Source organism: Homo sapiens, chromosome 19, assembly GCF_000001405.40.
Source record: "Homo sapiens chromosome 19, GRCh38.p14 Primary Assembly".
In the NCBI taxonomy this organism is placed as follows: Eukaryota; Metazoa; Chordata; class Mammalia; order Primates; family Hominidae; genus Homo; species Homo sapiens.
In genome coordinates this window covers 55289148-55309013 of record NC_000019.10, presented here as the reverse complement: position 1 = coordinate 55309013, position 19866 = coordinate 55289148, and the positions used below count along the sequence as shown (strand labels likewise).

Sequence of the window (19866 nt, the reverse complement as noted above, 5' to 3'; positions counted from 1 at the left end):
TCCTCAGGTTGCTAAGGAGACCCTCCTCAGGCCCCAGCCTCTCGGGGAACCTGCTCACAACTCTGCAGATAAGACCTCAGCTACGACAATGGTGAAGGAGCCCACCAGCTGGGCGTCCTCTGCAAACCAAACCCCAGAGCACCTGCTCATGCTGGACCTCTGCCCGCCACCCACCGCCCCCGCCACCCACGCCCCCCGCCACCCACGCCCCCCGCCACCCACGCCCCCCGCCACCCACGGCCCCCGCCACCCACGCCCCCCACCACCCACGGCCCCACCACCCACCTGCCAGGGCCTGCACGGAGGGCTGGTCATGAGTGCTCAGGAGCTGTGCCTGGATGGTCTCCACCACTCGCTTGAACCGACGGCTGGGACCTAGAGGCACAGGCGGGCAGAAAAACACTGACTGGGGGTCCAGGACCGGGAAGGCCGTCCCAGCCTGCAGAACCCAGTCCCTCCACCAAGCACACAACACCCCCCCTGCATCTCCGTCTCCCCTGCTCCGCTGGGGCCACATCAATCCACGGTTTGCAAATGGGTCTGTGCTGCTATTTAAGGATCACGGTCAAACTCACATACCTTCAACTTCAAATAACAGGTGTTGGTTTCTATTCAAATAGATACTATTGCTTGCTGTTAGTTTCTAGCGGAGGCCATGAAGGACCAGAAATGTAAGAAAAATAAGTTGGAGCCAGGTACAGGGGCTCATGCCTGTAATCCCAACACTCTGGAATGCCGATGTGGGCAGATCACTTGAGGTTGCTCAGGAGTTCGAGACCAGCCTGGCCAACATGGCGAAACCCTGTCTTTACTAAAAATACAAAAATTAGCTGGGCATGGTGACGCATGCCTGTAATCCCAGCTACTCGGGAGGCTAAGACAAGAGAATCTCTCGAACCCAGGAGGCAGAGGTTGCAGTGAGCCCAGATCACGCCATTGCACTCCAGCCTGGACGACAGAGCAAGACTCTGTCTCAAAAAAAAAAAAAACCAAACAACAACAACAACAAAAAAAAAGAAAAAGAAATCGGAGAAAGTCTTTTCTTTTTCTTTTTTCTTTTGAGACAAGGTCTCATTCTGTCACTCAGGCTGGAGTGCAGTGGCGCGATCACGGCTCACTGCAGCCTCAACCTCCTGGAATCAGGTGATCCTCCCACGTCAGACTCTGGAGTAGCTGGGACTACAGGTGCATGCCACCGTGCTGGGCTTTTTTTTTTTTTTTAAATTGTGTGTGTGTGTGTGTGTGTGTGTGTGTGTGTGTGTGTGTATAAATTTTTTTGTTTGTTTTGTAGAGATGAGGTCCATTATGTTGCTCAGGCTGGTCTCAAACTCCTGGGCTCAAGCAATCCTCCCACCTCGGCTTCCCAAAGTGCTGGGATTACAGGAGTCAGCCATCATGCCTGGCCTCAGAAAAAGTCTTAAAATTGAGAAAGGTCTGCATATTAGCCTTTTTTTTTTTTTTTTTTGAGACAGAGTCTCGCTCTGTCGCTCAGGCTGGAGTGCAGTGGCACAATCTTGGCTCACTGCAACCTCTGCCTCCTGAGTTCAAGCGATTCTCCTGCCTCAGCCTCCTGAGTAGCTGGGATTACAGGAGCCCACCACCACGCGAGGCTTATTTTGGTATTTTTAGTAGAGACAGGTTTCACCATGTTGGCCAGGCTGGTCTTGAACTTCTGACCTGCTCGTCTCAGCCTCCCAAAGTGCTGGGATTACAGGCGTGAGCCACCGCGCCCAGCCTGCATGTTAGTCTTTAAGGGGGACAGAAAAATAAAGAGTCATAATTGGTTTTGGTGACGGAACACCCACAGTTCCACAGCCGTTTGGTTTAGAAATCTTTGGGGCAAGCCCCTCTCCCACCTGTGACATATTAATATTGGTGACAAAGAGATCGGCGATATCCCTCCCTATCCAAATGCTCACTATCAGGATGGAGGGACCAAACAGAAAGCAGAACTGGAAGCAAGGTATTTTAGTGGTTTTCCTTTCTTGTGCCAAGCCTCGACTGGTCATGGCTGCCTGGAGTTCAAGTTCCTGAGGCTGCCACTGAGCTTAGCAGGAATAAGCACTGCCATCAATTGGTAATGTCTGCTCTGGGCAGACTGATATTAGACAGCAGTGTGCTGTGTCTTCACCCTTTGGCTCTACCATCTTAAAGTAATAGGAAGAGCTGGGCTCTCTCCTCTGAAGTTGGGAGGCCTGGGTTGGGCTGCAGCTCTGCGACAGTGTATTGTGTGACTCTGGCCAAGTCCATTGACCTCCCTATGACTCAGTTTTCTCCTCCGTAAAATGGGTGATTACTAACACCTCAGTAGGCTGCTTGGAAGCTTCAAGGAGATAATGCATTCATTATTTACACTGTAAATGCCAGGGAAATGCTGATGAGAGTGGGGAAATAGAGGATGGGCTTGTGGGGCGGTCTGTGTGGGCAGGAGGAGCACAGAGAGTCGGCACCAGCTGAACACCATTTCCTCCTCCTGCTGCTGCACTCCTGGGCCCCTACACTGTCTCAGCTGTCGTGAACAGTCCCAGCACTGGGCTGCAGGCAGCCTAGCCAAGAGACTCACCCGAGATGAGAGTGAAGGTGACGGAGTAGATGCCACCACCTCCGCTGCCGTCCCGTCGCGGGGAGGGCTCTGGACCCTCAGAGGAGCTGATGTCCACCTGGAAGCGGACGGGCTTTTGGAAGACGGAGGGGCCGCCACTGGCCTTGTACTCGGCCCTGAAGCTGGTCTGTGACAGCACACTGTGACTCAGGCTGGGGATCTGAGCGAGGTAGGAACACAGGAAGGGGTGAGCCCAGGAAATGGATACCCAGCCCCACGACCAGCTCTGGCCAAGGAACTACGAGTCCCATGAGCCACTGGAGGGAAAGAAGGACAGGAAATGCATTGGGAGGCCCCACTGCCTGCAAGGACTTGTAGCTTTCTCTATCCTATCAGCGAGTAAGGGAGGAATGGTTGGACATCCCCCTAACATCATGAGGACTCTGATAGCTAGGTGACAGCCTCAGACTCCAAGACCACATGAAACACTGCTTGCTCCCTTTACAAATGCTTCCCATAGCCATATCTGTCACAGAAACTCTAAGTCCCATCCACCCGTAGGCATAAAACCACAGACCAGCAATGGGGCAGCCTTAACATTGCCTGGGAAGTTTCTTCGGCTAGTTTCAAACCTCGCAGTAGGGGAATGGGAACTCACCAATCCTTGAGGACATTGCAATTCAGGATCCTATTTCCCCAATTCCAGGCCTCTGGCCACGATAAATCTTTCCTGCCTACCGACTTCTAACCAACTCTGGCCATAAAACTACAAATCCCATGAGCCCCAGGAGGAAGCCAGGCCTATGCTAAGGTGGTTAGCCCCAGGGGCTGCTGGGACTTGTAGTTCTGCGGGGGCCAGGCTCGATGGGGACCCAGGCCCCTCACCGACAGAAAGGCATGGACGATGTCTGCTTTGATGCTGCTGAGAGGTTTGTCCTTTAGCACGAGGAATATTTGTTCTTCTTTGTCCAAGGAGATGAAGTTCCCGAACCAGGAGCGTTTTGCCAGCCTGAGTGGGAGGGGGTGGTTGGAGGAGGGTTAGGAAGGCGCCGAGGGCATGAATCCCCTGCATCCCCACTCTTTCCTTCCCTGTGAGACTCACTCCGGGGAGGACTCTGGCGTCAAGCTGGACATCTCCTCAGCGGTAGGGACTGGTAGGGGGAAGGCAGAGAACGTGGTCAACACCTGTGCATCATCCCAGTTGCCAGCACACAGGCCTGCACTCGCCCCCTCCCAGGGTTCCAGAGCCTTGGGTTGCAGCCTCGGCCAAGCCATCCCTCCTGGGCGGGGCTCACAAACCACGGGCCAATGGGAGGTAATCCAGAGCCCCAAAGGCGCGTGCCCTTCAATCGGGGTCCTCCTCCAGAGCTAGAGGCCCCACCTCTCTCCCCAACAGGTGCACCTCTGCTTCAAACCCCCTCTTCTCTAGAACGTGGGAATCCAGGCCCCCAGTCCCTTCCTCTCTAGACACGCCAGACGGACATCCCTGGAACCAGATTTTTAGCCCCAACCTCTCCCCACATTAGGACTCGGCAGTTCATGCCCCCATACCCTGCATCTTGCGCCGGTGAAAGCGAGGGGAGCCCAGGAAGCTGTTGCGGATGGAGTTGAGACGACTCCTCCAGGCGGCTCCCCCGACGCCACCGCCGGGGCTGGGGGGTGGTGTTGTCCCCGGGGTCCCGGTGGGACTGGCCCGGGGCGTGTGCAGAGGCGAGTGCAAGGGGGTCCCGCCAGAGGAGCGCGGGGAGCCTGGGGGGCCGGGCAGGGGTGTGGAGCGGGCACTGGGGGGCGGGGGCTGCTCCCCGGCGCCCCCACCCCTGGGGCCCCGAGAAGGCAGCGTCTGCGTTTTGGAAGTCGGGGAGCCCCCGCCTCGAGCCTCATCTCCAGCCCCCGGCTCCGGTGAAAAGGAAAAGACCGGACTCTGCAGAGGACAGGAGACTGAGATAAGCGAGTGGACTACAACTCCCAGGAGGCTCTAGGAGCCCCACTCACACGCACACTCACGGACGCTGGCCCGGTGCATGCTGCAACTTGTAGTCCAAGTATCCTCCTTCCCAGGCCCCAGAGCAAGGATAGCAAAGACTTTCTATCATGCTGTGGGCTGAAAACCCAGCCGGTGCAGATACTAGTACACAGCAGGCACTCAACTAACTTTTGTAAAATCTCTTCAGGCATGCAATCCTAAGGAGGTAGAAATGGCCAATGGACCAAAATACTTTGGAGGCCTTGGGTCTTTGGCCCTCCAGGGACAAAGAAGCAAGTCTCAAGACTGCACAGGAATTGTAGTTTCTGCTACTCAATCTTTGCTCCATGTCTCCACCCCTTTCTCCTTCTTAAATCCCACTGGGGACCTGGCCTTACCCTTGGGCTGCTTAGAGGGCTGGAGGACAGACCCGTGGAGGCTCCACTGACGCTACGGGATCTGTTTCCAGGATAGATTTAAAAAAAAAAAATCAGATGGGAGGGTTTCAAAAACCACAGATGTTCCCTCACTTCTACAGTCCTTCCAGGTGAGGAAATGAGGCCCAGAGAGGGGAGGTGAATTGTCCCAAGGACACAGCACATTTGAGGTAGAGCTGGGGTTAGAATCTTGAACTCCTAGACCCAGGGATTGTGGATCCTCCTGGAGGGACAGGGGCTCCCACCTCTGGCTGTGCTGGGCCATCTCCAAGGCCCGTCGGGTGGGTACAGGGGAGCCACCACCCCCGGCATCGGTGATGCTCAGGACTTCCATGGACTTCCGCTCTGGTCGCCGCTTCCCGTGACGGCTCAGCATGGGAGAATCCACACGCTTCCGGGGGGGGTCTGAGGGACAACAGTTTCAACCCAATCAAGAGATGGTTTCACCCAGCTGTGTACAACTGCCTCAGAAACTGCACACATGGGGAAACAGGCCTAGAGTGGAGAGGGGATTTGATAAATGTCAAAGAGCAAGTCAAGCAGTCTAAAGCTGGAAGCTCAGAGCCTGCAGCCCCTTCTTTCCTTGGGAATCTGGGGTCCCCGTGGCCAGCCTCTTCCAATCTCGAGACCCAGGTGTCTGGTCCCCTAGCCCTGCCTTCTCACCAACATCATTCCGGGGAGGCAGGTCCTGGTCCTCACAGCTGGGATACCGCTCCTTCCGATCCAAAAGCAGATAATATATCATCTTTTCTTGGTTCTCCCTAAGGCAGGGGGTGGGAAAGGTGGAAAGAGGTAGCAGAGGGCTGAGGTCCAACATCAATGCTCAGAGGAGGTCTCCTCCGCTCCCTGTATTTCTGCCCATGGTTCCATTTTTTCTAGGTATCAGTATGGTCAGTTTCTCTGGTTTAGGGTACATCTCAGCTGTGTTTCACTCAATTATAATAACACTGTAACACCTAACATCCAGGCAAGAACTATTTGTAAGTACTATGTATATGTAAGTACTATGTCGCAGCATCTATTAATACTTTCTCAGCGTGTTTCTGGGCCGTTTTCTCCGCTGGTTCCATCACTCCCAGGCGGGAGCTTCAAACCATGCCCCATGAGAGGCCAGGGTTCCTCGCCCAGCACTCTGCATGTGCGCAGGGAGCTGCTGCAGCTCGCCCCACGTGGGTACACGGGTGCAGGGGTCTTGGGGTCTTACTCCTCACTGCGCAGCTCGCGATGCAGCCTCTCGCGGTCCCTGAAGCAGCCCAGTGATGCCATGCTCTCTAGGACGTCGGGGTCCAGCTCTCCGTTGGATGGCAGGCTCCGCATGGCTACCCGGCGGCCAGGGGCTGGCTCCAGGCACGGGTCTGGCTCGTGTTTCCCGCCTCTGGGGAAGTGGAGAAACATTATTGGGAACCGGGCTTCTGAGATTCAGCATTCTTCATTCTAGACTCAATGATCCCGGACCCCGAAATCCGAGTCTAGGCCCCGGCCCCTTCTCTCTCATACCCAGGAATCCAGACGCCCCAGACCTCGCCCCCCATCTCAGACCCAGGAGTCCAGACCTCCAGCCCCTTTTCCCTCCGACCGAGGGGTCCAGGCCCCCGGCCCCTCCTTCTTCAGACCCAGAAGTCCAGGCCCCCAGCCCCTCCTCCCTCGGATCCAGGAGTCCAGGCCCCCAGTCCCTTTTTCCCTCAAACCTGGGAGTCCTGGACTCCTAGCTTAGCCCCTCCTGCCTCTGACCCCTAGACTCCTTCTCTAGCTGTGTCCTCTTCCCCCAGGACCCATAAGTCCGAGTCCCTAGCCCGTTGCCTCTCAGGAACCCTGGCATCCCACCCCTCCCAGCCGCTTCTACTGCTTTGGCCCCTCCCCTATTTCCGCCAGGGACCCAAGAGTCCAGTTACCCCATACTCACAGGTACCAAGGATGTTTCTGAATTTGCTCCAGCTGTGAGGGTGGTGAGTCGTAGAGAAGCAGAAGTGAGGTCGTAGGCACATGTAGGCGCGCAATGAAAGACTGGGGTGGTTTTGGGGTCCCTGATCATCTCCCCGCCCACCCCACCGGGGGCAGGATGACATATTACATCGCCCTCTAGTGGCGACTGAGTGCATCGCCCCGCGCACGCGCGGTCTCCGTGTACCCCGGACCGGCCGCATTACTTTGCCGCATGCGCAGTGGCATCCTGTTCGCCTCCTTACTCCTGCGCCCTCCCGCTGCCTGGAGCTCCCCGCCCCAATCTTGCGTAGCCCCCTCCCCAGTTTGGAGCGGCAGCTGTGCTGGACCTTGGGCTGCGGCTCAGCTGGCGATCCCAGTCACCCTGGGGACTGACGAGCAGGTTCTGGAAACCCATCCCCATGACTTTTCTAGGGGGTTCTGTCTTCATCGGCCACTGTTCCCCCCTCCGCCGGTCCCCCCCTCAACTCACACTGAGCCTTTTTTCGGGCTCCACTTCGATCATTCCCCTCAGGAGGCTCTGGCAATCTGGAGGAATGAAGTGGGGCATGTGGAAGACGCCCCGTTTCACCTTCTCCAGCAGCTGGCGGAGGTTGTCGTCATCAAAGGGCAGAGCCCCCTGGGCAAGAGATAACCAGGACCCCTCATTAGCACATTTCACCCTCACCACAAGCACTGGAGGTGGGGAACTACGGTGATCTCCACCTTAAGGGGTTGGAAACTGAGGCACAGAGAGGCTCAGCAATTTGCCAAAGGCCCCTAGCTCGTCCGTGGCACAGCAGGCACTTGGCAAGGAGCAGCTTGGAGCCCCGCTTACGAAGCTAGAATTGCAGCGTGGAGGCTGTTCCTTTTAGACAGCTTTCCCCCCACAGCAGTTTCGAAACGGTTGTCTCTCATTCACTCATTCAACAAAAGGTGAGCATCCGTTACAGGTCAGGGATCCAGCAGTGAACAAAACAGGCCTCTGCCCTTGCACAGCTCCAAACAAATAGCTATACAATGACGAGCGACTGAGTGAGGCTTCTCCCAGGAGGTGCAATGGGAGCAGAGACCTGAATGAGGCTGAGCCCTAAATCAATGACTGGTGTCCTTATAAGAGGAGACGAGGACGCAGGCACAGAGAACAGTCATGTGATGACGGAGGCAGAGATGGGAGTGATACAGCTGCAACTGAAGGAACGCCAAGGACACCAGAAGCTAGGAGAGGCAAGGAAGGATCCTTCCCTAGAGCCTCCAGAGGAAGCAGGGCCCTGCTGACACCTTTTCTTTTCTTTCTTTCTTTCTTTTTTGAGATGGAGTTTCGCTCTTGTCGCCCAGGCTGATGTGCAATGAGGTGTTCTTGGCTGACTGCAACCTCTGCCTCTCCCAGGTTCAAGCGATCCTCCTGCCTCAACCTCCCGAGTAGCTGGGATTACAGGCATATGCCACTATGCCCGGCTAATTTTTTTATTTTTAATAGAGACGGGGTTTCACCATGTTGGCCAGGCTGGTCTCAAATGCCCAACCTCAAGTGATCCACCTGCCTCAGCCTCCCAAAGTGCTGGGATTACAGGCGTGAGCCACCACACCCAGCCTAATTTTTGTATTTTTAGCAGAGATGGGGTTTCACCACGTTGGCCAGGCTGGTCTTGAAGTCCTGACCTCAGGTGATCTGCCCGCCTCAGCCTCCCAAAGTGCTGGGATTACAGGTGTGAGCCACCGCACCTGGTCCCCTGCCTTGCTTTGAATCCTTGCTCTGGGGCTTATACCTGCATGACCTCAGGCAAGTCACTGCTCTGAAAATGGCAATGGGTCGTCACAGCACCCACCTCACGGACTGCATCAGAATGAACTGACCTAGTACATGACAGTGCTGGGCCCACAGTCAGGACTGTTACAGGCTGGCTGCTGTGACGCACTGACCATAGACCCCACCACATCCTGCATTCTGACGTAGCCACCAGCCATGAAGCAGGGGACAAAATCACATCCCTGCCCTCCTGGAGTTGGCCTGGGACGCTGCCTGACACACACTCGACACTCAAGTCATCAGCAAAGGTGGTGGAATGAGCAGAGAAGTTGCATTCCAGAGGGGACAGGAAACAAACAAGCGAACGTATCATACGGGACGGGAGGGAATGCTTCCAATCACCAGGGCAAGGGTTGGAGGGGAGCCAAGGTGACCCCCCATGGACAAAGACTCATGGGAGGTGATGGTGTGAGCCTTTGAGGGCTTTTCCGGGTGTTGCAAGCTCCCAGTTGCCCCTGGTATCTGAGGCCTGTGGACGGAGAATGGGGAGATACAGAGAAGGCACCTCTGAATGCCGATCTTAGGGTGCGGAAGCCTGGGTTTGACTTCTGGTTGCCTGATGCTCAAGCACAGAGCCTCAGTTTCCTCTCCTCTGTGAAACGGACATAATGATCCTGCCAGGAAGGGTACGGTCTGGATTAAATATTATAACAACAGGCTGGGCATGGTGGCTGACACCTGTAATCCTAGCACTTTGGGAGGCCAAGGGGCGAGGATCACTTGAGTTCAGTAGTTTGACACCAGCCTGGCCAACGTGGTGAAACCCCATCTCTACTAAAAATACAAAATTTAGCCGGGCAAAGTGGCGGGCGCCTGTAATCCCAGCTACTCGGGTGGCTGAGGCAGGAGAATTACTTGAACCCAGGAGGCGGAGGCTGCAGTGAGCCGAGATCACACCACTGCACTCCATCCTAGGTGACAGAGAAAGTCTCCATCTCAAAAAAAACAAAAAACAAAACAAAAAAAAAAACCAAAACAAATTATAACAACAATACAGTTGATTCTTGTTATTCTTGAGAGTTCTGTTCTATAAAGTCACTGCAAACTCTCAACTAGTGAACGAGTCACGGCTACTGGAGGAACTATAGTTAGTAAGCTTCCTTTGACCCTCTCGTCACATTTTTGTCAACCAGTCATTACATGACCTTGTTTGTATGTGTTTCTGTTTAAAGACACTTTTCTTTTTTTATTGAGACGGAGTCTAGCACTGTAGCCCGGAGTGCAGTGGCATGACCTCGGCTCACTGCAGCCTCCGCCTCCCGGGTTCAAGCGATTCTCCTGCCTCAGCCTCCTGATTGGCCAGGCTGGTCTCGAACTCCTGACTTCGTGATCTGCCCGCCTCAGCCTCCTAAAGTGCTGGGATTACAGGCGTGAGCCACCGCACCCAGCTTAAAGACACCTTTCATATGTACTGTGTCATTGACGCGGAACTCATGGCCAGCAGCACTACAAGTCATTCCTGAACAAAGCATGCCCATCAGAGGGGCTTTCTCCAGAAGGGACATCACAGCCTCCCGCGCTTAGGAACACCAGACGGCACTTCAGAAGCACTTGGCTTCATGGCCATTTTAAACAACGAAATTGCCACCAACAACACAAAAATGTGAAAAACGTGACACGAAATAGGTGGTGAAAGGGGGATTGTTTACAGGATGAGAGCTGAAACAGGGTCACTTTGTTTGACCTCAGCCGGAAACCTGCACCTTGGGTGGGCGGCTCAGGTTTCCCCTGCTCTGGGCATGTCTGCCAATGACTGTGAAAGCACCTCCAGGACTATTTTGGGTTACAGATACATTTTGACAGGTAGGCAAATTTGCAAATATGGAATCTGCAAATGATGAGGAACTATTGGAACAAGAATAAACTACTAGGCCAGGTGCGGTGGCTCATGCCTGTAATCCCAGCACTTTGGAAGGCTGAGGTGGGCAGATCACTTGAGGTCAGGAGTTCAAGACCAGCCTGGCCAACATGGTGAAACCCCATCTCTACTAAAAATACAAAAATTAGCCAGAAATAACTTGAACCCAGGAGGTGGAGGTTGCCGCGAAGAAGATCAAGCCATTGCACTCCAGCCTGGGCTACAGAGCAAGACTAAGACTTCATCTCAAAAAAAAAAAAAAAAAAAAAAAAAAGAAGAAACAAAAAAAAAAGAATAAACTACTAATAATAATCATCAAGCATTGTGCCAGGGGCTTCACGTGCAGCATTTATTTAAACCCTCACAGTGGGCTGGGGGAAGTGGCTCACGCCTGTAATCCCAGCACTCTGGGAAGCTGAGGCGGGTGGATCACCTGAGGTCAGGAGTTCGAGACCAGCCTGGCCAACATGGAGAAACCCCATCTCTACTAAAAATACAAAAAAATTAGCCAGGCATGGTAGCAGGTGCCTGTAGTCCCAGCTACTTGGGAGGCTGAGGCAGGAGAATCTTGAACCTGGGAGGTGGAGGTTTCAGTGAGCCAAGATCGCACCATTGCACTCCAGCCTGGGCGACAAGAGCGAAACTCCGTCTCAAAATGAAAAAATAAATAGATAAAATAAAAATGAAAACAAAACCCTTACAATGATAGGTATGATGTGTATTTCCACGGTGCAGATGAGGACACTGAGGTAGGGTGACTGGCTCGCTCAGGGAGAGGGAGCAGGGATTGGAACTCGGCTGGATGGGCTCCAGAACCAGGCTTTTAGCCACCAAGTGAAGAAGGGCTGAGTTCTGAACATTCTTAGCTCGTCTCCAGAGCACCTCGGCTGCTCTCCCCATGGAGTGGTGAGCCCCAGGAAGCCAGCTTGGAGCTGGCCTCATTGCCCTTAGTATCCGTTATGTAGCCTGGTGGTTAAGAGACCAAGGACTGACCCCAGGCCTGCGGCTTATCAGCTGCGTGCCCGTGGGCCAGTCACTTCCCCTCCCTGGGACTGCTGAGGGAATTGTGTGAAATAACATGATCAGAACAGTGCCTGACATTAAAAAAACTGCTTATGGCTGGGCGTGGTGGCTCACACCTGTAATCCCAGCACTCCAGGAGGAAGAGGCGGGCGGAGGTCAAGTTCGAGACCAGCCTGGACAAAATGGTGAAACCCCATGTCTACTAAAAATACAAAAATTAGCCAGGCGTGGTGGCACATGCCTGTAGTCCCTGCTACTTGGGAGGCTGAGGCAGGAGAATCGCTTGAATCCAGGAGGTGGAGGTTGCAGTGAGCCGAGATGGCGCCACTACACTCCATCATGTGTGACAGAGCAAGAATCCGTCTCAAAAACAAACACACACAAACAAAAAAACTTATGTATTCTTTTTCTTTTCTACTTATTACTTATTTATTTATTTATTTTTGAGACGAGGTGTCACTCTGTCATCCAGGCTGGAGTTCGGTGGCATGATCATGGCTCACTACAGCCTTGACCTCCAGGGCTCAAGCAATCTTCCCACCTCAGCCTCCTGAGTAACTGGGACTACAGGCAGGTGCCACCATGCCTGGCTAATTTTTTTTTCATTTTTTTTGAGACGGAGTCTCGCTCTGTCGCCCAGGCTGGAGTGCAGTGGCATGATCTCGGCTCACTGCAAGCTCCGCCTCCCGGGTTCACACCATTCTCCTGCCTCAGCCTCCCGAGTAGCTGGGACTACAGGCGCCCGCCACCACTCCCGGCTAATTTTTTTTGTATTTTTAGTAGAGACGGGGTTTCACCACGTTAGCCAGGACGGTCTCGATTTCCTGACCTCGTGATCCGCCCACCTCGGCCTCCCAAAGTGCTGTGATTACAGGCGTGAGCCACCGCGCCCGGCAATGCCTGGCTACTTTCTTAACTTTCTTTTGAGATGGGGTCTTGCTTGCTATGTTGCCCAGGCTGGTCTTGAACTCCTGGGCTCAAGCAATCCTCCCACCTTGGCCTCCCAAAGTGCTGGGATTACTGGCGTGAGTCATTGCGCCCGGACAACTGCTGATTTATTCTCACTACAGGTGTTCACTGGGGACTTACATGTGTCAACTTTAGGTTTGCAAAGGCAAGCCAGCAAAATGAAATAAAACACACAAAGACAGATGCCCCAGACATCGGCCCTGACCTCAGGGAGTTGATGATACAGAAGGGAAGGGAGATGCCACTCAACGAATTAGGCAACAAAATGCACAGCGACAACTCTGATCGTTGCCAGGAAGAAGGGAGCCTACCACAGGGGGGTCTGACCTTACAGGAGTGGGGAGGAGGAGTGGGGGCAGGGGAAGCTTCCTGGAAATGTGACAACTGAGCAGAGAGCTTGAAGAAGTCTAGATATGAACTAGGTGAGCAACAAGGCTAATAGGTAGCAGAGTGTCCCAGGCAGAAAGGCCCTGTGGTAGGAGCAGGGCTGATAGCCTACGATCTGGCTATATATATATATTTTTAGATAGGGTCTCACTCTGTCGCCCAGGCTGGAGTGCAGTGACGCGATCTCAACTCATTGCAAACTCAACCTCCTGGGTTCAAGCGATTCTCCTGCCTCAGCCTCCTGAGTAGCTGGGACTACAGGCATGCGCCACCAAGCCCGGCTAGTTTTTGTATTTCTAGTAGAGATGGGGTTTCACCATGTTGGCCAGGCTGGTCTCAAACTTCTGGCCCCAGGTGATCTGCCTCCGCTCGGCCTCCTGAAGTGCTGGGATTACAGGTGTGAGCCTCCGTGCCCGGCCTGGTTATACTTGTTATTACAGTATCACAATGCCCTAGAATCAGCTGGTAAACAGTCATTGTATCAAGCCCTCCAGGTGCTCCTGGATGACTTGTTCCTTTCTGGGGTTCTTCCTGGAGACTATCCCATAGTTCTTTTATCTTTTTAACCCACAGTTCTGTGAATGAAAAGGTTAGCTCCCCACAGAGTGGGGGAACTCCAGGATCTTGGTCTGTTGGTTAATGTAGTATCTTTCCCATTACCAGTGAAATATTCGAGAGATGGGCTGGGTTCGGTGGCCTCACGCATGTAATCCCAACACTTTGGGAGACTGAGGTGGGCAGATCACTTGAGCCCAGGAGTTTGAGACCGACCAGGGAAACAAGGCGAAACCCTGTCTCTGTGAAAAATACAAAAATTAGCTGGGCGTGTTGGCAAGAGCCTATAATCCCAGCTGCTCGGGAGGCTGAGGCGGGAGGACTGCTTGAGCCTGGGAGATTGAGACTGCAGTGAGCCGTGATGGCGCCACTGCACTCCAGCCTGGGCGACAGAGAGAGATCCTCTCTCAAAAAATAAAAATAAAAATAAAAATAAAATAAATTCAGCTGCCGGGCACGATGGCTCATACTTGTAATCCCAGCATTCTGGGAGGCCGAGGAGGGTGGATCACTTGAGGCCAGGAGTTCGAAACCAACCTGGCCAACATGGTGAAACCCCGTCTCTACTAAAGATACAAAAATTAGCCAAGCATGGTGGCAGGTACCTGTAGTCCCAGCTAATCGGGAAGCTGAGGCAGGAGAATAGCTTGAACCCGGGCGGCGTAGGTTGCAGTGAGCCAAGACTGCACCACTGCACTCCAGCCTGGGCAACAGAGCAAGACTCTGTCTCAAAATACATAAATAAATAGGCCGGGTTCAGTGGCTCACACCTGGAATCCCAGCACTTTGGGAGGCAGAGGCAGGTGGATCACCTGAGGTCAGGAGTTGGAGACCAGCCTGGCCAATATGGCGAAACCCTGTCTCTACTAAAAATTCAAAAATTATCTGGAAGTGGTGGTGGGCGCCTGCAATCCCAGCTACTTGGGAGGCTGAGGCAGGAGAATTGCTTGAAGCTGGGAGGCAGAGGTTGCAGTGAGCTGAGATCACACCACTGCACTCCAGCCTAGGCGACGGGGCAAGACTCTGTCTCAAAATAAATAAATAAAATTCATAAATAAATTCAGGAGATGACCTGAGGATGGAAGGTACTGTCCTATGCTCCCACCAGGTGGGATTGATCTAGAAATGACAGGAGAGGTGAGGGCGCCTTACCACGAGCAGGGCGAAGAGGATGACTCCACAGCTCCACATGTCTGCCCGGCGGCCATCATATTTTTCCCCCTGGAAGGGAAGGCCAGTTGTGACTTCATCGCTCCTCACTGCTGCCTCCACCCCTCTCCCCTCTATCCGCCCCTCACTCACCTTAATCACCTCTGGACACGCATAATGGGGGGACCTGAGGGAGAGAGCTGATGTGAGCCTCCAGCCAGCTTCTAAACCCCTGCCCAGGGTCTCGGGAGCCCAGTCCCCACTCACCCGCAGCTGGTCTCCAGGAGGCTGTCCCCCACCTGCAGGGACGCCATGCCGAAGTCTGCAATGCGGATGTTGTTTTTCTCATCCAAAAGCAGGTTCTCGGGCTTTAGGTCTCTGTGGCTGAGACAGCCAGGTGGGACTCAGGCCTCTTCCTTCCTCCCAGGAGGCCCAGGCCCCACTGACTGGCTCTCACAGTGGAACACTTCTGCATACTTTTTGGATTTTTAGGGGATGAGAGACCATTTATTATCATTCATTAATTTTGGTCTTTTTAAAAATTTTTAATTTTTTATCATATGTATGTATGTATTTATTATTATTATTTTTGAGATGGAATCTCGCTCTGTCTCCCAGGCTGGAGTGCAGTGGCATGATCTCGGCTCACTGCAACCTCTGTCTCCTGGGTCCAAGTGATTCTCCTGCCTCAGCCTCCTGAGTAGCTGGGACTACAGGCCGCACCACCATGCCCAGCTAATTTTTGTATTTTTAGTAGAGACGGGGTTTCATTATGCTGGCCAGGCTGGTCTTGAGCTCCTGACCTCATGATCCGCCCGCCTTGGCCTCTCAAAGTGCTGGGATTACAGGTGTGAACCACAGCACCCAGCCTTATTTATTTATTTATTTATTTATTTATTGAGATGGAGTCTCATTCTATCACCCAGGCTGGAGTGCAGTGGCATGATCTCGGCTCACTGCAACCTCCGCATCCTGAGTTCAAGTGATTCTCCTGTTTCAGCCTCCTGAGTAGCTGGGATTGCAGGCATGTGCCACCACACCCAGCTAATTTTTGTATTTTTATTTTTTTTGAGACGAAGTCTCGCTCTGTTGCCTAGGCTGGAGTGCAATGGCGTGATCTCGGCTCACCACAACCTCCCGGGTTCAAGAAGTCCTGGGATTACAGGCATGAGCCACCGCGCCAGGCCTAATTTTTGTATTTTTAGTAGAGACAGAGTTTCACCATGTTGGCCAGGCTGGTCTTGAACTCCTGACCTCAGGTGATCCGCCTGCCTTGGCCTCCCAAAGTGCTGGAATTACAGGGGTGAGCCACCGCGCCCGGCCTATTTTGTTTTTTATTTTTAGAGATGGGCATTGCTTCTCGGCCTTTTGGCTAAGATCAAGTGTATGCTTAGAGATGGGGTCCCTTTCTGTTGCCCGGCCTGGAGTGCAGTACCACAGTCATAGCTCACTGCAGCCTTGACCTCCCCAGCTCAAGTGATCCTCTGGCCTTAGCCTCTTGAGTAGCTGGAGCCACAGGCGTGCATCACCATGTCTGGCTTTGGAAACTTTCCTTTTTTTTTTTTTTGAGACAGAGTCTCACTCTGTCGACCAGGCTGCAGTGCAGTGGCACGATTACGGCTCACTGCAACCTCCGTCTCCTGGGCTCAAGCAATTCTCCTGCCTCAGCCTCCCGAGTAGCTGGGATTATAGGCATGTGCCACCACGCCCAGCTAATTTTTGTATTTTCAGTAGAGACAGGGTTTCACCATGTTGGCCAGGCTGGTCTCGAACTCTTCACGTCAGGTAATCCACCTGCCTCGGCCTCCCAAAATGCTGGGATTACAGGCGTGAGCCACCGCGCCCGGCCTGGAAACTTTTTATAATAGACAATCACAAACGTGCCCAAAACTGGAGAGAAAGTAAGAGGAAGCCTCACTTACCCATCGCCCAGCTTCATCCATGATCATCTTAGGGCCAATCTGATCTCATCTCTGTCCCTTACATACTCCTCCCCAACCCAAATTAGTTTGTAGGACATCCCAGATGTCATATTAGTTTATCTGTAAGTATTTGAATATGTACAAAGTGAGCTATTTTGAGGTAAAGCTGATATGCAGCTGGTTCTTAAAATCCTTGGTTCCTGTCTTGGGACCTTCCCACCCTTGAACCAAACTCCTCAAGGTTTAAGGGTTGGTGTCTGGGGAGAGAGGGAGTGTAGGATTCTGCAGTTTTCATTTGGCCTGGTCATTAACTGGGTCAAACTTGTTAAATACGTTGAATATCTCCCCCTAGAGGCCAGGGTTTCAATATCAGGGTTTTGACAATCTTGTCAACAGGAAGGTGTGGAAAATTTAAACAGGGCCGGGTGCGGTGGCTCAAGCCTGTCATCCCAGTACTTCAGGAGGCCGAGGTGGGTGGATCACCTGAGGTCAGGAGTTCGAGACCAGCCTGGCCAACATGGTGAAACCCCATCTCTACTAAAAATACAAAAAATTAGCCGGGCATGGTGGCGGGTGCCTGTAGTCCCAGGTACTCGGAAGGTTGAGACAGGAGAATCGCTCGAACCTGGGAGGTGGAGGTTGCAGTGAGCTGAGATCGTGCCATTGCACTCCAGGATGGGTGACAGCGAGACTCCGTCTCAAAAAATAAAAAAAGACAAAAACCGAAAATTTAAGTAGGTGGCCTTTTTATCATCAAGCTTTACCCAAAGTCTGAGTCCCTCTACCGTGATCCCCACCCCATCTCCAAAAACACATCTTAGTGAGAGAGATGCGCAAATGAAGGAGGCTAAAAGATGAAGGCATTCATTTTGTACCTGAACAGTTAGAAAAACGTTGCACATTTAATATCTGATTTGGAGGCTAAAGTCAATTCAATGAAAAAAATAATAACTTTTCTTTTTTTTGAGACAGGGTCTCACTCTGTTGCCTCACTGCAGCCTCAACCTCCTGGGCTCAAGCAATCCTCCTACCACAGCTTCCCAAGTAGCTGGGACCACGGGCACACGCCACCACATCCAGCTAATTATTTTTATTTTTTGGAGAGATGGGGGGAATCTCACTTTGTTGCCCAGGCTGGTCTCGAACTCCTGAGCTCAGGTGATCTGCCCGCCTTGGCCTCCCAAAGTGCTGGGATTACAGGCATGTGCTACCATGCCCAGCCAAAAAAAAAATCTTTAAAAGTGGACACATAGGCCAGGCGCAGTGGCTCATGCCTTGAGCCCAGGAGTTTGAGACAAGCCTGGGCAACATAGCAAGACCCTGTCTCAATAACTAAACTAAACTAAAAATAAATGAATAAATAAATAACCCTTACTCAACCCTTACTTCACACCATATACAAAAATTAACTTGAAATGGATGCCAGACCTAAATGCAAGAGCTATAACTATACAACTTCTAGAAAATATACAGAAGACCTTAGTGACCTTGAGTTGGGCAAAAGTTTCTTAAATAGGACAGAAAAAGCATGAGGTGTAGGCCGGGCGCGGTGGCTCATGCCTGTAATCCCAGCACTTTGGGAGGCCGAGGCGGACGGATTACGAGGTCAGGAGATTGAGACCATCCTGGCTAACATGGTGAAACCCCGTGTCTACTAAAAATACAAAAAATTAGCCGGGCGTGGTGGCGGGCGCCTGTAGTCCCAGCTACTTGGGAGGCTGAGGCAGGAGAATGGCGTGAACCCGGGAGGCGGAGCTTGCAGTGAGCCGAGATCGCGCCACTGCACTCCAGCCTGGGTGACAGAGCAAGACTCCGTCTCAAAAAAAAAAAGAAAAAGAAAAAGCATGAGGTGTAAAATAAAAAAATCAACAAACTGGAATTTATCAAAATGAAAAATCTTTTGCTTTTCACAAGACTTATAAAAATGTAAAAACATGGCACAGACTTGGAGAAAATAATTTAAAAATGTATACTGATGAAAGACTTGCATCTAGAATAAACAATTCTTTTTTTCTTTGTTAAATTTTCCCCCTTGTTCTTGCTGTCATCATACAGAATAATTTTTAGGAATAATTTTGTTCCTAGAGTAATCTCTTGTTCCTAGAATAAAAAATTGTTACAAATCAATAATAAAAAGACTAAATCAAATTTTAAAAAATAACTGAATTAAAGATGGGCAAAGAGGCCGGGAGTGGTGGCTCACGCCTGTAATCCTAGCACTTTAGGAGGCCTAGGCGGGCAGATCACCTGAGGTCAAGAGTTCGAGACCAGCCTGGCCAACATGGTGAAACCCCGACTTTACTAAAAAAATACAAAATTAGCCAGGTGTAGTGGTGTGCACCTGTAATCCCAGCTACTCCGGAGGCTGAGGCAGGAGAATCAATTGAACCTGGGAGGCAGAGGTTGTAGTGAGCCAAGATCACACCATTGCACTCCTGCTGGGCAACAAGAGCAAAACTCCATCTCAAAAACAAAACAAAACAATACAAAAAGGGCCATGTATCGTATGATTCCATTTATATAAAACGTCTAGAATAGGTAAATCCATACAGACAGAACATAGGTTGCCGGGGGCTGGGGGCAGGAGGGGAATGGGGAGTGACTGCTTACTTAATGGGTACAGGGTGAGAAAATGTTCTAAAATTCCACAGTGGCAGATGTATACCACTGCAAATATATCAAAAACCACTGAATTACACACTCTAAAAGGAGGAATTTTCTGGTGTATGAGTTATGTCTCAATGGGATAAAGGTTTGGGGGCCGACCACATGGCTTTTGCTCAGCCCTCCACATGCCCCCAAGGGCCTGTCTGCTGGGCAGCCCTCAGCCCCTCCTCCCCCTCAAGCTGCCCACTCACCAGATGGAGTAGCTGTGGCAGAAGTCCAGCGCAGACACAATCTGGCGGAAGAACTTTCGGGCCTCCTTGGGCGTCAGTCTCCCCTTCTTTACCAGGTAGTCGAATAGCTCACCCCCCGAGACGTGCTCCAGAACCAGGTACCTAAAGGATATAGAGGGGGCAGAGGGCTGGAAGGGGCATGTGGAGGACCAAAGGGCCTGGTCTCCCACTTCCACTGGCTCCTGGTGGCAGAGAACTCCAATTCCCATGATCCTTGGGAGAAAGAGACTCCAATTCCCATGGGTCCCTGGGAGGAAGAGACTCCAGTTTCCATTAATTCCTGGGAGGAAGAGATTCCAGTTCCCATCACTCCCTGGGAGGAAGTGACTCCAGTTTCCACCAGCCTCTAGGAAACCAAACTCAAGTCCCATTAGCCCTGGGCAGTAGAGCCTCCCATGTCAGCTTCAGAGGGGAACCAACACTTTGACTCATAA

The 19866-nt window shown here is 52.3% G+C and overlaps 1 protein-coding gene across 1 annotated transcript in view, besides 1 other annotated feature; it reads right to left on the bottom strand.

Annotated features, from left to right (window-relative positions):
• The window catches only part of BRSK1 (BR serine/threonine kinase 1), a 28566-nt gene that overhangs the window by 3549 nt on the left and 5151 nt on the right, over positions 1 to 19866 (bottom strand). The window contains exons 4-18 of the mRNA NM_032430.2: positions 19394 to 19534; positions 14881 to 14997; positions 14767 to 14800; positions 14617 to 14685; positions 7356 to 7502; positions 6846 to 6877; positions 6147 to 6317; positions 5606 to 5703; positions 5188 to 5347; positions 4904 to 4964; positions 4094 to 4463; positions 3645 to 3693; positions 3428 to 3551; positions 2564 to 2762; positions 286 to 375 (exon numbers count right to left, since the gene is read on the bottom strand). Of these exons, the coding sequence (NP_115806.1) occupies positions 286 to 375; positions 2564 to 2762; positions 3428 to 3551; positions 3645 to 3693; positions 4094 to 4463; positions 4904 to 4964; positions 5188 to 5347; positions 5606 to 5703; positions 6147 to 6317; positions 6846 to 6877; positions 7356 to 7502; positions 14617 to 14685; positions 14767 to 14800; positions 14881 to 14997; positions 19394 to 19534 (1862 nt within the window). The remainder of the gene's footprint in view (positions 1 to 285; positions 376 to 2563; positions 2763 to 3427; positions 3552 to 3644; positions 3694 to 4093; positions 4464 to 4903; positions 4965 to 5187; positions 5348 to 5605; positions 5704 to 6146; positions 6318 to 6845; positions 6878 to 7355; positions 7503 to 14616; positions 14686 to 14766; positions 14801 to 14880; positions 14998 to 19393; positions 19535 to 19866) is intronic.
• Positions 5479 to 5773: a silencer, noted in NCBI's record as "tiled region #11129; HepG2 Repressive DNase matched - State 9:DNaseU, and K562 Repressive non-DNase unmatched - State 14:Gen5'". NCBI's record gives its function as "represses a minimal TATA promoter and a strong SV40 promoter by Sharpr-MPRA in HepG2 and K562 cells {active_cell/tissue: HepG2 | K562}" and the evidence as "EXISTENCE:reporter gene assay evidence [ECO:0000049][PMID:27701403]".